This window comes from Homo sapiens, chromosome 6 (genome assembly GCF_000001405.40).
Source record: "Homo sapiens chromosome 6, GRCh38.p14 Primary Assembly".
NCBI classification, from domain to species: domain Eukaryota; kingdom Metazoa; phylum Chordata; class Mammalia; order Primates; family Hominidae; genus Homo; species Homo sapiens.
Genome location: NC_000006.12, coordinates 89,019,886 through 89,038,104, shown reverse-complemented (window position 1 = coordinate 89,038,104; position 18,219 = coordinate 89,019,886). Strand labels below are relative to the sequence as shown.

At 43.3% G+C, this 18,219-nt stretch overlaps 2 annotated features.

The window, feature by feature from the left end:
- Nucleotides 1,904–2,738: a transcriptional cis regulatory region, noted in NCBI's record as "candidate enhancer chr6.3824 targeted for multiplex CRISPR interference". NCBI's record gives its function as "positively regulates PNRC1 gene expression in K562 cells {active_cell/tissue: K562}" and the evidence as "EXISTENCE:mutant phenotype evidence [ECO:0000015][PMID:30612741]".
- Nucleotides 15,932–16,547: an enhancer, noted in NCBI's record as "OCT4-NANOG-H3K27ac hESC enhancer chr6:89731277-89731892 (GRCh37/hg19 assembly coordinates)". NCBI's record gives its function as "activates a minimal SCP1, AML or CMV promoter by ChIP-STARR-seq in primed H9 embryonic stem cells {active_cell/tissue: H9 hESC(primed)}" and the evidence as "EXISTENCE:reporter gene assay evidence [ECO:0000049][PMID:30033119]".

Genomic DNA, 18,219 nt, shown 5'->3' with positions numbered 1-18,219 from the left:
ACCAGGAGTGGGGTGCTGCTGTAAAGATACCCAAAAATATGGAAGCAGCTTTGGAACTGGGTAACAGGCAGAGGTTGGAACAGTTTGGAGGTCTCAGAAGAAGATAGAAAAATGTAGGAAAGTTTGGAACTTCCTAGAGATTTGTTGAATGGTTTTGACCAAAGTGCTGGTAGTGATATGGACAATAAAGTCCAGGCTGAGGTGGTCTCAGATGGAGATGAGAAACTTGTTGGGTACTGGAGCAAAGGTGACTCTTGTTATGCTTTAGCAAAGAGACTGCTGGCATTTTGCCCCTGCCCTAGAGATCTGTAGTACTTTGAACTTGAGAAAGATGATTGAGTGTGTCTGGTTGAATAAATTTCTAACCAGGGCCCAAGGGCTGTTTAGTCAGTGGGTGACGGATCCTGCCAGGACTGGGTCTTTCCCTTCAAGGCAGTAGTTTCCCTTCGGTCCCAGAGTGTGTCTAGACATGTTGTCTGGGAACTAGGGCTTGAAATAGGGCCTCATGACTCTGACCAGTGCCCTATCCTACTGTGGCTGAGCTGGTATACAAGATGAAAGGCAAAGTCATCCTTTTCTTCCCTCTCCTCTTGTCAAACAGAAGGAAAAGTTCTCTTCTGGAGCTGTGAGCTGCACTGCCTGGGGTTGGGGGAGGGGTGGCATAAGCACTCCTTTAGCTGCCCTGGCTGATGTCTCATTGGGGCATGTGCTCTCCAAGTCCACTAGTTCCGAGCCCAGCACAGCACTAGGGCTTGAAGTCCTTGCAGCCTAGACTGTCATTCAAGTTGATTTAGGGCTCCAGAGCACTTCAGCCTGTAGTGTGAGGCTCGCCAGAACTCAAGTTCCAACCACCGGGATGGGTGATTTCCCCTCTGGCCAGGGCTGGTCTGAATGCTGCCTCTGTGGGTGAGTGTCAGCTGAATTCAGTCTGGTTTTTCTTTCTGTTGTGACAGGGCATCACTGAGTTCAATGCAAAATCTCACAATGCTGGGCTTTCTGTCTCCCAAGCACACATTTCTCTGTGCCACGCAACAGCTGCTGTGGGGGTGCAGGAGGGGATGAGGGGTGGGTGGTGTTGGCAATTCAGGGCTGTCTTTTATACCCTCTTCAGTGCCTCTTTCAGTGAGATGAAGTTAAAGCCAGGTACTGTGAGTGCTCACCTGATTTTTGGTTATGACGGTGTTTTTGCCCAGGCTGGAGTGCAGTGGCATGATCTCGACTCACTGCAAGCTCCGCCTCTCAGGTTCATGCCATTCTCCTGCCTCAGCCTCCCAAGTAGCTGGGGCTACAGGTGCCTGCCACCACGCCCGGCTAATTTTTTGTATTTTTTAGTAGAAACGGGGTTTCACCATGTTAGCCAGGATGATCTCGATCTCCTGACCTTGTGATCCGCCCGCCTTGGCCTCCCAAAGTGCTGAGATTACAGGCACAAGCCACCGTGCCCGGCCAATGATGGTGCTTTTTTATGCAGATAGTTATTAAATTTGGTCTTCCTGCGGCAGGGGATAAGTGGTGGGGACTTTTATTCTGCCATCTTGCTTCATCCCCCAGTTACAGACTTTTTGTGGCCTATCATTTCCTCTTGAAATTATCATCTATTGAAAAACTGAAATAAAAAGCTCAAAAATGAATTCTTATTGTGGTGATGATTGTGCAACTCTGTGAATGTACTTAAAATTTTTGATTGTGCACTTCAAATGGGTGAATTTCATGGAATGTAAAAAACCACAAAAACTGTTTAAAAAACTGAATTTATATTTATTAAATACTATAATGACATATTTGAAATTTAAAGTCAAGGTCTAGCTTAAAATAGTGCTCAGTGTTGATGTTTTTAAATAATTAAGTAACCTACCAGAGCATAGTTCTAATAAAAGGAAAATCCACTGGAAAAGAACTAGGTCACTCATTATGTGTTTCTAGTACTCGTTAATATGAAACAGAAGTGAAACTGCATCATTGCCTGGGATTACTGGAGTTTGCATAAGGCTCCAGGAAATTCCTTACTTGCAACACTCCTTGGCCAGCACTGTATCTGCCTTGTCCTTTCTGATAAAGTCCACCCCATGTTGTCTATGTACTTGTCCTTAATCTTTCTTTGCTTGTCAGTTGGCTGGATATGCTCTACTGCTAGGAGTGTAACCATTTTTAGTCCTGACGTAGGAAGACAGCTAGAAGATAGTAGTAAATTTTGCTGACAGGAAAAAGGCCAAGTTGGAACTCGCATGCATGTAAATCATCCTGCTAGTTAGTCATTGTTCTCACCAATAACACTACGGATCTGGAGTGTGACTTGAACAGAGCGGCTATGTGAATACTCAGCTGGCCTGGTTCCTGCGGACTTTGGAAAGCCCTTAGGTGGGACCGGAGTGTTCTGAGGTGGGGCGTGCTGAGTCATGTCTTCTCAGCTGCTCTTTTGTAATAATTATTCCTGACAGTGACCAGTCACTGAACATTCCAGGCTTACGCCTGTGTTACTAGACTTTTTATGTTTATTGCCAAACTGAAATGCTGAAAACACCCAGCAGTGGTAGGTACACTGCAAGTCTCCAGTCAGAAGGCCTCCATTCCGGGATGATTAATATCACGTGCCAGTCCTGTTGCTCTGCTTCTCCTCCCAGGATGCTCCAAGCTCCCAGCTGCACTCCCAGCCCATCCAGGCTGGACACCGGGCACCTTCCTGTCTCAGCTCACATTTCGCCTTCCTGAAGATCTGAGACAGTCTCTCCCAACTTCACGCACTGGCTCTGCCACTTACCAACTGTGTGACTTACGGATGGTGGTTTGGCAGTAGATGGTCAACACAGATGATTATCTTTCCTGGCTGTTCTAGAGTAACAATACCATCACTGTCCTCTGATTGGAATTTGCTTCATAATTTAGCATTTAACCTTAAACTCTCTTGTACCTTTGCCCACTATTTCGTGTGGTGTTTATTTTGTTTCCTTAGCCTAAAACCTCCCTGGGAAGACAGAAAAGGCTTTATTTTCTTTTGGGATCCTTTTAGAATGTGTTCTCCATTCACAGAGCAAGCTTATGCAGGCTTTGAATATGTCACAGTTGGTGGGCAGTTTAGTTTGTTGACACCACTGTTTTCAGTTCCATTAGGTTGGGGCAGTAGGATCAGATCAGGTAACGAGGGTGTCAGGGCATTGGGACTGAGTTGAACCCAACGGACCATGGCTGACTATGATGTGGAGGTTGTCTCATTGCATCAGAAGAGTTCAGTTTTTCAGAAAGTGGAAAGCCCTCATTTACGTCATCAGTCAAAACAGAGGGCTTCTCTTACAGCCTAATACATGAAATGTCTATTTCTCTTCTTCATTACAGACACCCAGTTGCCCTTGCCAGAAACTTGAGTCATTCTTAACGCTTCCCTCTTGACTTCCCTCATTGCCCAAGCTAAGAGTGTCAGCAAGATCCAGTAGACTCAACCTCTCTGTGTCTCTGCAGTCTGGCCCTCCTCTCTATGCCCTCCCCGAGGCTTTAGTTCCGGCTTCCATCATGTCTTATTGGCATCTTTATAATAACCTCACAGCAGGTCTCCCTGTCGTTCAATTTACTTCTCTGTCATTTACCTCCAAAATTCTGCTGCCATTATCTTTCTTAAACAACAGTCTGATCATGCCACTCATATATATATATATTTTTTTTTTTTTTTTTGAGGCAGTCTTTTTCTGTTGTCCACGCTGGAGTGCAGTGGCACATTCTGGGCTCACCACAAACTCTGCCTCCCAGGTTCAAGTGATTCAAGTACTGGGATTACAGGTGTGAGCCACCACACCTGGTCAGATTGGCATGTTGCCAAAAAATCATTCTGACTACAATACGGGGAATAAATTGAAGAGGGAAAATTAAATTCTAGGAATTTTTTTTTTGAGACAGGAGTCTTGCTCTGTCACCCAGGCTGGAGTGCAGTGGCGTGATCTCAACTCACTGCAACCTCCACCTCCCTGGTTCAAGGGATTCTCCTGCCTCAGCCTCCCGAGTAGCTGGGACTACAGGCACCCGCCACCACGCCCGGCTTTTTTGTATTTTTAGTAGAGGCGAGGTTTCACCATGTTGGCTAGGATGGTCTCGATTTCTTGACCTCATGATCCACCCGCTTCGGCCTCCCAAAGTGCTGGGATTACAGGTGTGAGCCACCACACCCGGCGAGTCTAGGATCTTATAATTACATTTGTAGCAGCCCTGCTTCCTTAGTACAGGCCTATACTTGACACATAGCTGATTTTCACTTTGTATAATTTCACCTTAATTTGCTGTGCCAAAGCAGATAACATTGTTTTACAGGTTTTGGAAAGAAAAAGGCAAAATGATATAAACAATTGTTCAATTATTTAACGTTATTAGGGCATGGAGCTGCCAGTTTATTTGTCTGATGCTTTAGAAAGTCCCCTGCTTTCCTGTGCTGGAAATTCCCATGGGTAGACAGTTCAGGGAACCAATTCCAATTCTCTCCTCATGGACTTCCTCCTTCTCTTGGTTTCAGATCCACTTCTATGTAAGTGGATCTGAAGATTTGCCATTTATATGGGAATTTACTATTCTAAAAAAGTATTTCAAAACAGCAGAGAAAAGATGAAGTATTCAATAAATAGCATCAAGATAATTGTCTAGTCATTTGGAAAATAAAATAAAATAAAATTCCTACCTCACACTAAGATCCTATGTTTGTGATCTTGGAGTTAGAGAAAGCCTTAAATAAAACACAAAAAGGAAAAACCGTAAAGTAATGAGTAGGTAAGAAATATTTTATATGTAGGTATATGTGGATATAGATATTTACATAGATATTTATCACATAAAATACATAGAAAGACTACTAACGATTAAAAAAGGCAAACACTACATAGAAAAAAAAGGGACAAACTATATGAAAATGTAATTCTATAAATAGATGTCCAGGCCAGGTGCAGTGGCTCATGCCTGTAATCCCAGCACTTTGGGAGGCTAAGGCAAGCAGATCACTTGTGGTCAGGAGTTTGAGACCAGCCTGGCTAACATGGTGAAACCCCGTCTCTCCTAAAAATACAAAAATTAGCTGGGCGTGGTGGTGTGCGCCTGTAATTCCAGCTACTCAGGAGGCTGAGGCAAGAGAATCACTTGAACCTGGGAGGTGGAGGTTGCAGTGAGCTGAGATCGTACCACTGCACTCCAACCTGGGTGACAGAGCAAGACTCTTTCAAAAAAAAAAAAAAGATGTTCAATTTTATTAGCAATTATGCAAATAAGAATCCACAGATATACATATATCCACACACATGTCAAGGTACAGGAAATGGGTAGCCTCATTCACCGCCAGAGGGAGAATAAACTGTTACAGGCACTTCTACAGCAACTTGGCAGTACTTGTAAAATTAAAATAGATCTAGGATATGACCCAGCTATCCTACTTCTCAGTGTTTAGTATGGAGAAATGTTCAGACTTATGCCCAAAGAGACATGTACAAGGATATTTATCTCTGCATTGGTTGCAAAATGAGAAAGTGAAAGCAACCTAAATACCCATCAATAAGAGAATGCTAAGTAAACTAGAGTCTATCCATGCTATGGAATACTCTACTACAATTTAAAAGAATAAGGCATACCTGGCCGGGCACGGTGGCTCACGCCTGTAATCCCAGCAATTTGGGAGGCCGAGGCAGGCGGATCACCAGAGGTCAGGAGTTCAAGACCAGCCTGGACAACATGGTGAAACCCCGTCTCTACTAAAAATACAAAACGTATCCAGGCATAGTGGTGGGTGCCTGTAATTCCAGCTACTCGGGAGGTTGAGGCAGGAGAATTGCTTGAACCCAGGAGGCGGAGGTTGCAGTGAGCCAAGATCGTGCCACTGCCCCCTCCAGCCTGGGCAACAAGGGCGAAACTTCGTCTAAAAAAAAAAAAAAAAGGCCGGGTGCGGTGGTTCATGCCTGTAATCCCAACACTTTGGGAGGCTGAGGTGGGCGAATCACGAGGTCAGGAGTTCAAGACCAGCCTGGCCAACACGGTGAAACCCCGTCTCTACTAAAAATAGAAAAACTAGCCAGGAGTGGTGGTGCATGCCTGTAGTCCTAGCTACTCAGGAGGCTGAGGCAGGAGAATTGCTTGAACCTGGGAAGCAGAGGTTGCAGTGAGCCGAGATCACGCCACTGCATTCCAGCCTGGGTGACAGAGCGAGACTCTGTCTCAAAAGAAAGAAAAAAAAAGAATAAGACATACCTGTATGGACTGGCATGGAAAGCTCTCAAGTGTGAAAAAAGCAAGATATGAAATAAAATACAGTATGATAAAATAAAAATAAAAAACACAAATAAAATCCATACATAAAAACAAAAAATATATATTTCTATAAGGAAACAGCCTGGAAGAATGAAGAGCTACTCATTTTGGGGGGAGGGTAAAGGATTAGACTTGCTTATCAAAGGAGAATTTAACTTTATATGTAACATTTGATTTTTTAAATAATGAGAAGGAATTATTTCTTGTGTAATCAAACTTTTTGTTTTTTTTTTTTTGAGACAGAGTCTCACTCTGTCACCCAGGCTGGAGTAAGGTGGCCCGATCTTGGCTCACTGCAACCTCTGCCTCCTGGGTTCAAGTGATTCTCCAGGCCCAGCCTCCCTAGGAAATGGGATTACAGGCAGGCACCACCGGGCCTGGCTAATTTTTTTTTTTTTTCTTTTAGTAGAGACAGAGTTTTACCATGTTGGCCAGGCTGGTCTCGAACTCCTGACCTCAGGCAATCCACTCGCCTCAGCCTCCCAAAGTGCTGGGATTACAGGCATGAGCCACCTCGCCTGGCCCAAACTTTGAAAAAATATCTTCTTTAAATGCCATGTATAAGAAAAACATAAACACAATTTTTGTTAGGCATAAACAAAACATCTTTTTATTAAACAGCTTTGTTGAGATATAATTCACAAACTATATAACTTATTCATTTAAACTGTGCAACTCAGATGTTTTTAGTATATTCACAGAGGTGTGCAACCATCCCCACAATCTAATTTTAGAACATTTTCATCACCCCCAAAAGAAACAGTCACTTCTTATCCATCACTCCCACCCCTCAGACAATGATGAAACTGTCTCTATAGATTTTTTCCTGGAAATTTCATATAAGTAGAATCATACAGTATGCATTGTTTTAAAAGTTTATTTGTTTGTTTTAGAGATGCAGGTTTCCCTATGTTGCCCAGGCTTGACTCAAACTTCTGTACTCAAGAGATCTTTCTGCCTTGGCCTTCCAAGTTGCAGGGATTACAGGTGCATAGCCACTGTGCCCAGCTAATAGGTGTTTTTTTGTGGCTGGTTTTGTTCACTTAGCATAATGTTTTCAAGGTTCAATGATGGTTTAGCATGTATCAGCACTTTATTCTTTTTACATAACATTCCACTGTATGGATTATGGATTCCACTGGATGGCTATATATTATATTGTATGGATATAACATTCCATTGTAGGAATATACCACATTTTGTTTGTCCATTGATCAATTAATGGGCATTTGGGATATTTCCATTTTTGGCTATTATGAATAATGCTGCTGTGAACATTTGTGTACAAGTTTTTGTGTGGACGTATGTTCTTGTTTCTTTTGAGCATATACCTAGGAATGAAATTGCTTGGTCATGTTAACGCTATGTTTAACATCGTGAGGAACTACCAAACTGTTTTCCCAAGTGACTGAACCATTTCACATTCCCACCACATGCTTTGTCTTTTGAAAATTGCACTATGGGTTAATGTATGAGAGGCAATTGCTGTTTCATTTAAACTACATCAAAAAGTAGTTTAACCCGTATTCATAATATAGCCCATAGTGCAATTTTTGAGGTTAAAGATACATGTGTGTATGGTAATATATTTAAAATATACTAAAAGTAGTATGTATATATATATACTGTTTATATATACTATAAAATTTATAGTAAAAAGCAGAACCCTGGGTGAGTACTATGTTGGAAATCCCCAAGGACTGGGGAGGGGAGGGGTAGGTAAGAGCAAGGGTCTGGCAGGCATTGGGTAGAGCAATCTGAAAAGACGAGCAGGATGACTAAAGTCGATAATGCAAGCTTCTGCATCTGGAGGAAGGAGACAACTTGGAGCCAGGAATCCTGTTTCTCTGCTTTCTTTGGGGCTTCCCAAGGTATTGAAATAGGAGGACCTAATGCGTAAGAGAGATGATTAGAAATAGGGTCAGTTTCAGGGGAAGGGGTCTGCTGAGTCAGAACCCAGTGCAAGGGTTGGCACAGCTGATTTTGACAGCCTGTCCAGAATTCAAGGCTAGGCTCTAGTCCTTGCATCTCAGGGCTGCAGAACACCTGGCATAAGAGATGCGCCCTTCTGGAGAATCAGGCATGATGGGAGCTGGGTGGCTCACACACCAGGCATGCCAGCTCTAGGGACCATTTCCCAACTGGCCAGTGAGAAGGCTCATTTTAATAGAGCAGGACAGTTTTTCTGTTTCTAGACCTGGACAGCCAAGCAATATCATAATCAACACAGCAGGGGCAGGAGGGCTGGAGCAGGCGGGGGCCTAAAGTATATTAGCGCAGCAGTGACGAGTTTTAAAGAACTTTCATACCCTCTAGCTCCTTCATTCATAACCTGGTGAGTTGGTTTGCTCAAGGATTATTATCCCAAGCTATCTTAAAACTAAAGTCTAAATTGCCATTTATAACTTGGTATGGACTTTCACAACTCTTTCCTAAGCAATTAAGATATAATGGAGAAACTCAGCTCCCCAGAATGGGAGCCCCTCAAAATAATAATATTTAAGGAATCTTAAGTAGTTGTTCAACATTTCTAAATGCAAAGTGTATTAAATTACATATTATTGATACAATTATTTACTTAAGATTAATTTGCTCCCTTACTTCCACTAGCCAATGTAAAGTTTAATGATCTGAAAAAAAAACTTGCACAATAATTCCCATTTCTCTGTGGTTCTTGTTCTCTTTCTAGTTTCCTTTTGTGATTTTGTCTGGAACAAGATAATTTTTTGTAAAGTGTATTAAAGAGATTAAAATGAAGTTAAGAAAATAAATCACTTCCTTCTTCCAGTAAACAGCACCAAAGCCATCCATTCACTGTTGAATCCAGAGGTTTAGTAGATGAGGCTGCTTATATGTACAATTCAAAAACATTCCAAAGCAGATGAATTCACATGATGAGATTTTTGCTTTCCTTTTCTTTAAATTCTTTTTTTCGTTGTTGTTTTTTGAGATGGAGTTTTGTTCTTGCCGCCCAGGCTGGAGTACAATGGCGCGATCTCAGCTTTGCCTCCCGGGTTCAAGCAATTCTCCCGTCTCAGCCTCCTGAATAGCTGGGATTATAAACACCCACCATCACACCCGGCTAATTTTTGTATTTTTAGTAGAGACCGGGTTTCACCATGTTGGCCAGGCTGGTCTCGAACTCCTGACCTCAGGTGATCCGCCCACCTCAGCCTCCCAAAGTGCTGAGATTACAGGCATGAACCACCGTGCCTGGCCTCTTTTCTTTAAATTCTACTCACAGGCACCGTTTGTTTCAACAGTGCCAGGTAAATTTTCCTGATGTAAACTGTAAGAAGCTGTATGTGGAAATGTGAGTTAACAAACACCACATTATTATTTATTTGCAAATGATTTGTGCCTATGTGAGGCACCTGGGGCAACTGCCTGGCTGGCTTGACCCTGAACCCAGCCCTATCTTGTAGTGTTTATTTTCTGTAGCCACCGCCTCTTGGAGTAATGGATTCTATATTTTAGTACATGCTATACATAGAGCTACTTCTTTTATTTTTGTTGGAAGGACAGTCAGGCTTCAAGGAATGTTGCCTATTTCAATTTTTTTCAGGATTTGAGAAAATTACGCTATTCTTTGTGAGTTTAAGATGAACTTTTTTGCAATGGCATCTTTTTTATTTTTACCAGCATACATGATTCCTTCTGCCCTTAATCATCTTTGGTGTCCTCTGGATCTTTTCTAGCTCCACTGTATCTTCAAGAAGCAGAGACTAGAACCCCATAAAATTTTCATCATATAAAAGATTCCAGGGCCAGGTACTCTTTCAGTTGTAGTCACTTCTCTCTCTCTCTTTTTTTTACAATAATCTCCAGACAAGTTTTCAGTTGTTTCCCTTGATGCATCTCCCAGATCTGTGCTTGCCACAGACTGAAACTTATTTGAGAATTCACGGCTGGTTCCTCCTTTTTTACATGAACCGAATCCAAACAGAAATCACACTTGAGATCATAAACTTACCTTCATTAAATATTTATTGGAGTTTGAGAAGATGCCAGGCATTGTGCTAGGTATGTGGAGGTGGAAATAGGAGGTGGTTTCAAATATTAATAAAAAGCAACAGCTCTTGGTGGGGCATGGTAGCTCACACCTGTAATCCCAGAGCTTTGGGAGGTCAAGGTGGGGGGATTGATTGAGCTCAGGAATTCAGGACCAGCCTGGGTACCATAGTGAGACCCTGTCTCTACAAAAAATTACAAAAATTAGCCAGGCATGGTGGCACATGCCTGTAGTCCCAGCTATTCAGGAGGCTGAGACAGGAAGATTGCTTGAACCTGGGAGGCAGAGGTTGCAGTGAGCTGAGATCATGCCACTGCACTCCAGCCTGGGGTCTAGAAGGAGATCCTGTCAAAAAAAAAAAAAAAAAAAAAAAAAAGGAGGGGAGTTAAAAAAACAAAAAAGAGCAGCAGCTCTTAACACACAGCCTGGCTGGGCGTGGTAGCTCACGTCTGTAATCCCCGAACTTTGGGAGGCTGAGGTAGGAGGACCATTTGAGCCCTGGAGTTCGAGACCAGCCTGAGCAACATGGCTAGACCCTGTTTCTACAAAAAATACAAAAATCAGCCAGGCGTGGTGGCACATGCCTGTAGTCCCAGCTACTCAGGAGGCTGAGGCAGAAAGATCCCTTGAACCCAAGAGGTCAAGGTGGTTTCAAACATTAATAAGAAGCAGCAGTTCTTGGCAGTTCACTGGGTGCAGTGAGCTGTGATTGCACCACTGCACTCCAGCCTGGGCAACAGAGAGAGACTCCGTCTCAAAAAAAAAAAAATTAAAAAAATTAAAAAAATTTTAGAGCAGATGATTCTGTACTAAAAAAGAAAATAATAAATAAATTAAAAATTAAAAACACACACACACCTAACGGGTGAGAAAAATGAATGAAAAATTATCTATCTGCATGTAAATGCTATGGGTTCAACCCATCTCTAGGAAGTTATATTCATTTCTATTATTGCTGTAAAAAATTACCACAAATTTTGTGGCTTCATTCAACACAAATTTATTCTCTTACAGTTCTGGAGGTCAGAAGTTAGAAATGAGTCTTAAGGGCTAAAATCAAGGCACTGACAGAGCCAGTTCCTTCTGAAGGCTCCAGGGGAGAATCCTTCCTCCCAGCTTCTAGAAGTGGCTGGCATTCTTTGGCACGTGGCTGCATCACTCCCACCTCTGCTACCATCATCACATCACCTCCTCCTCTCTTTCACCTCCTGCCTTCCTTTTACAAGGACCCCTTATGATTACATCAGACCCACCTTGATAATCCAGGGTACTCGCCTATCTTAAGATAACTTAATCACATCTGCAAAGTCCTTTTACCATGTAAAATAACATATAAACAGGCTCCAGGGATCAGGATGTGAACCTCTTTGGGGAGCTATCATTCAGCCAACCATAGAAGTCAAGAGAGCAATGACTTAACACGACACTTGAATTTTGAGTGCAGCGATAGCTGGCATTAAGTGGGCCTTTCCTTTATGCCAGGCATTTCACTAAGGGTTTTACATTTGCTTTCTCATTCAGTTTTTATACTAGGCTGGGTGTGGTGGCTCATGCCTGGATCCCAGCACTTTGGGAGGCCAAGGCGGGAGGATCCCTCAAGCCTAGGAGTTCAAGACCACCCTGGGCAACATGGCGAAAGTCAGTCTCCAAAAAGAAAGTACAAAAATTAGCCAGGTGTGGTGGTGCATGCCTGTAGTCCCAGCTACTCGGGACGCTGAGGTGGGATGATCACCTAAGTCTGGGGAGACTGAGGCTGCAGTGAGCTGTAATGGTGCCACGGCACTCCAGCCTGGGCAACAGAGTGAGACCCTGTCTCAAAAACAAAACAATCTTTACATTAGGTCTCAGAGGTCGTGGTTGTTATTATCTCCATTTTCCAGGAGCGGAAAATAAAGCTCAAGAGGTTAAGTTACTTGCTTAACATCCTGGCTAGCAAACAGAGGAGTCAGGATTTGAAAGAAGGTGTGACCCAATTACTATGCTGTACTGATAAAAGGAAAACTGAAGGAGAAGGGCATGCCAGGACAAGGAAGCAGTATATTAAAAGGCCTAGAAGCTGGAAGAGCACGGAGCCTTTGAGGTATAACTGGGGTGAGGAAGTGATGGGAGGAAGAAGGGAAGACAAAGTTGGGAAGGGAGACAAGGGCTGGATGGTGATGGACTCCTGGGAGAAGGGTTCCTGTAGACAATGGGGAATCTCTAAAGGATTTTAGAAAGGTGAGACTGCCGGGTGTGGTGGTTCAATGGCTGTAATCCCAGTGCTTTGGGAGGCCAAAGTGGGAGGATTGTTTGAGCTCAGGAGTTGAAACCAGGCTCAGCAGCATACGAGACCCTGTCTCTACAAAAAATAAAATATTAGTCTGGTATGGTGGCATGCACCTGCAGTCCCAATTATTCGAGAGGCTGAGGTGGGTCATTTGAGCCCAGGAGTTAGAGGCTGCAGTGATCTTGCCACTCTACTCCAGCCTGGGCAACAGAAAGAGACCCTGTCTCAAAAAAAAAAAAAAAAAAAAATTCAAAATATAAAAGAGGCTGGGTGTGGTGGCTCACACCTGTAATCCCAGCACTTTGGGAGGCCGAGGCGGGTGGATCACCTGAGGTCAGAAGTTCGAGACTAGCCTGGCCAACATGGCAAAACTCTGTTTCTACTAAAAAATACAAAAATTAGCTGGGCGCAGTGACTCATGCCTGTAATCCCAGCACTTTGGGAGGCCCAGGCGGGCAGATCACAAGGTCAGGAGATTGAGACCATCCTGGCCAACATGGTGAAACCCCGTCTCTACTGAAAATACAAAAATTAGCCGGGTGTGGTAGCGGGTGCCTGTATAGTCCCAGCTACTCGGCAGGCTGAGGCACGAGAATTGCTTGAACCCGGGAGGCAGAGATTGCAGTGAGCTGAGATCACGCCACTGCACTCCAGCCTGGCAACAGAGCAAGACTGTCTCAAAAGAAAAAAAAAAATTAGCTGGGTGTAGTGGTGGGGTCTTATAATCCCAGTTACTCGGGAGGCTGAGGCAGGAGAATCTCTTGAACTTGGGAGGCAGAGGTTGCAGTGAGCCAAGATCATACTACCACTGCACTCCAGCCTGGGTGACAGAATGAGACTCCATCTAAAAATAAAAGGGAGAGAGATGGAGGGAGACAAATTCCTGGTGATGTCATTTGAAGCCCTGGATATAGCCATACTTGAAGTCAACCCACTGGGCCCTGGACTTTCCAGGAATATAAGTGCATAAATTCTCTTTCTCTTTTTATTTTTGTTTATCTTGTTTTGGTTTGTTTATATTTTTGCTTGAGTTGGTTTGCATTGGGATTCTACCACTTGCATTTGAAAGTTTCCTAAAGAATGCGGTGGCACCACATGGTCTGGCCCCTTCCTGCCTGTACCCACTGTTCCCTTGATCTCTGTGCTCCAGCAAACTTGGCTTTCTTTCAGTCACTTAGAAATGCCTGGGGATCCTCTGCCATAACTGCTTTGCATATACTACTGCCCTGCCTGGAACATTCTTCCTCCCTCTTTGCCCAGTTAACTCTTACTCATCTTCCAGGTTGCTGCCTAAGGTCATTCTAATAGCTTGTTACAAGGTGGCCCCTGATGAATTCCATCTTCCAGTATTCATGCCCTTGTGTGATAGTCCCCTCTCCTGAACTCTGGGTGGACTGATTTAACCAGTGGAATTCAGCAGATATGATGCTGTGTCAGTTCCAAGCCTAAGCCTTAGGAAAGGCTGGCAGCTTCTATTTTTGTGCTCTTGGAAGGCTTGAGCCAACATATTAAAGGTCTGATTATCCTGCTGGAGAGACCAAATGGAAAGATTACATGAGAGAATCCCAGCTGTGGCCTAGCCTAAGTGCCAGCTGGATGCAGCCTCCTGAGTGACCACTGACAAGACCAGAGAAACTGACCATCTGAGCCCAGCCCGAATTACAAAATTGTGTGCAAATAAAGTGGTTCCTCTCTATATCTCTTTTGTCTTCTTTAAGCTTGTTACTTTGTGCTATTATGTTTTAGGGTAGTTTGTTGTGCAATATTAGATAAGGGAAAGAGTCACTTCAAGAAAACTCCTCTGGCCGGGCACAGTGGCTCACACGTGTAATCCCAGCACTTTGGGAGGCCAAGGTGGGAGGATCTCTTGAGTCCAGGAGTTCAAGACCAGCCTGGGCAACATGGAAAGACCCCGTCTCTACAAAACATACAAAACTAGCTGGGCATGGTGGCATGCACTGGTAATCCCAGCTACTCAGGAGGCTGAGGTGGGAGGATTGATTGAGCTCCGGAGTTGGAGGCTGCAGCGAGCCGAAATCACACCACTGCACTCCAGCCTGGGTGCTAGAGCCAGACCCTGCCTGGAAAAAAAAAAACAAGAAAACTCCTCTAACACTCCTAGACCAAGTCAATCCCATTGCAGACATTTTCACAGGAAAAAAGACATGATCATAGTACTGTGCACATTTCCTTTAGAACACTTATTACAATTCACAGTTGTTTGTAGCTTTAACTCAAGAATGACTTTTCTTTTCAGGGTCCCTTTTCTGTGATAAACTCAATAATTTCAGGAGTATTTATCCAACCTTAAGACATCAGTCTTTATTGTGGTTGGAAAGTTAGGTCTGTCTGCCAAAGGACCCAGTTCTCTGCTTCCATTCCTGCTGAATCTGCTGCTGATCCTCCAAATGCAGGTTCAGTAGAAATTGTAGCACAAAAGTTTCTCACAGAAAAGGTCCCAGAGGGCTCCCTTCCCCCTCCTAATTTGTGAGTCTGCTCTTAAGCATTTAGGCACCATTAATAGGAAAACTAGATTTTAAAAGATTCATGGTGCATGGTTTACAGTATTCAGATTTACATAGCAGGTTCTTCCAAATTACACTTAGGGGAATAAATCAGTGACTAACTTTGGCAATCTCACAAAGCACAGAGCCTTCCAGTTTTAAAGGTTTTTGCTGGTGAGTCATTAAGTTAAAAAAGGAAATCTATATTGGTGATAAATCTTTGTAGAAGTACTCTATGTTCTGCTAAAATTGATTGTTTCTAGGTGGCTACTTCAACTAATATTATGAAAAGAATAGATTTCTGTTGTAATACAAAATGATACTTTCTGAGAAATTGTTCCTAGTCTTGCTTTTTTTAAAAAAAAAGTTGGCACAGGAGATTTATTACAGAGGGTACTTCCAGAGGACCAGAACTTTTAATAAATTGATTCTGTGGTTATTTTCATTGTTTAACATTATTGATCATACACATTCACCAGATTAGAAATTTGCGGTTGCTGTACTTGTGGGGAGATGGCATGGTGGAGACCTAAACTTTATGTAGGTTAGAGCTTACTCTACTGGCAGTCCACAGCTTCAACCATGGTGAGTGAAGACAAAGGAGGATTCCTGAACCCCATCCTCTCCCTCAGGCTGTCTTCTCCCACCCTCCACACACTCCATCACAAAGACCTACATAAGCTTTCTCTCTAGTCGTCACCTCCTCTCCTTTTCCATGTACGCTGCTTTAGTTCAGGCTCTTGTCAATTTGACCTTCAGACTTTTGCTGTGTTCTCATGGATGGTATTCTTGCCTTTAGTCTCAACTTCCAAATCCATCTTCCACCACACTTCTGCAGTGACTGGCTACTTCCTTTCTTAAAACCCTTCAATGATGCATTGTTTCTGCAAGAGAGGTCCTTAACCTATGGTCCACAGATATTTAGCAGACATATGGACAAATGAACTCTCTAAAGTAGTGTAGATGAATGACATGAATACATCTATTTCCCAGGAGAGGGCCTGTAGTTTTCATTACACTCTCAAAAAGGCCTGTGTCTCAAAAAGAGGGAAGAACCACTGGCCTATAGGTGGAAAAACCAGTTCCTTGGCATGTCACATGATTATCAAAAGGGTGGAGGTGAAAAGATGCTGCAAACGCCACAGGCAAAAGGTACCAGTTCCTTCACCCTGCATAACAAAACACAGGACTTGGCAGTATTCAGAATGGCCTCTCCCAATTGTTCTGAGAAGTGCATAGCTGTCCTGTCTCCATGACAGCCTGCTGGTGCAAACTACGAATCAACTTTCTCAGGGGAGGAGATATTTACCTTCTTGCCTCTTTTCAGCTTGGTACTGGAGACAGTGGGAATCAGTCTAAGCACATTTCTAAGGGATCACAGCGGGCCGAGGTGGAATCCAAGAACAGTTCCAGGTGACCTCTGAATCTGGCTTTCCCAAACAGGGTGGGCTTCAAGCTTATTGAAGCTCCATCTCTCACACAACATCCAAGGTCCTTCATGACCTTGCTACTTACTGCCTAGATTTCCAGCCCCATCCTTCCCATGAGTCCCATGCTTCAGACACACAAAATATTCAAAACTCGGCCGGGCATGGTGGCTCATGCCTGTAATCCCAGCACTTTGGGAGGCTGAGGCAGGTGGATCACCTGAGGTCAGGAGTTCGAGACCAGCCTGACCAACATGGAGAAACCCTGTCTCTACTAAAAATACAAAATTAGCTGGACGTGGCAGCACATGCCTCTAATCCCAGCTACTCAGGAGGCTGTGGCAGGAGAATCTCTTGAACCCAGGAGGTGGAGGTTGCAGTGAGCCGAGATTGTGCCACCGCACTCCAGCCTGGGCGACAAGAGTGAAGCTTCATCTCAAAAAAAAATAAATAAATAAATTCCAAACTCCCTGAGCCAGACATGCACTTTGACGACCCTTTGCCTTTGACATAACAATAACATAAAGGATAATAATAATAATAACTTAAAATTCCAGTGAAAACTCTGTGAGGTAGGTAATACCCCCAGTTTACAAATGGGGAAACTAAGGCTAATGGCAGTTAATGTGCCCAAACCTAACAAAGGAAGTAAACATGACCTAGAATTACCCCTTTCTTTCTCCTCTGGCAAATGCTACTTGTTACAGTGTCAGCTCACGTCACTTCTCATAAGGTCCATTCTAACTTCTCTAGATAGAGTTAGGCATTCATGCCTCAGTTTCCAAAACATCTCCAAATGATTCTTTATTTTAGTAGTAAGATATATTTATTCCAGAAAATTGGGAGACTCAGAAAAACAGTCCTCAAGAGTATATCTATCCAAATGCAATTATTGTTAGCATTTTTGTAACTATTCTGACTTTTTAATATTGCTATTACCATTATGTGTATATTATCTTGTATTCTATTTTTTAGGGACTAGTAGTATAAGCGTTAACATTTCCCCATCTTGTTATGCAGTTTTACAATACCTTTATTTGGTATTGTAAGGATATTTTGGGTGCAAGTAACAAATAACTGTTAATTCACATTGTCTTAAACAATAAGGAATGTATGGTAATTGCTGCTTTAAAAAATCTCAGAAGTAGGGCAGGGCCCAGGTATGCTGTAATTTGGGTTCTAGCCATATTTTACTGCAGTTATCTCACATCTCCCTCCCTGCTTTTGACCGTCTGTCATTGTCCTCAGGGATCCCTCAGATCACAAGCTGGGGCAGCCTACTTCCTTGTTTGTGTTCTGCACAAGAGGGGGAGAATGCTACCCTAATGATGGAATAAAGTTCCATTTTAAACACAAGAGTGGGAGAATGCTACCCTAATGATGGAATAAAGTTCCATTTTAAATCTGATTGGGCCATTTTTAGGTCATGTGCTTCTTCCTGGACATAGAATGGTCCTTGGGGCAATGTAATTCACTTTAAGCTTGACCCTTGGCTTATTTTTATTTTATTTTATCTTATTTTGAGACAGGGTCTCATTCTGTCACCCAGGCTGGAGTGAAGTGACACTAACACAGTTTACTGCAGCCTCAACCTCCGGAGGTCTTGCCATGTTGCCCAAGCTGGCCTTGAACTTCTGGTTTCAAGGGATCCTCTCACCTCAGCCTCCCAAAGTGTTGGGATTACAGGCGTGAGCCACCCTGCCCAGCCAACCCTTGGTTTAAACTTGTATTCTTGAACCAATCACT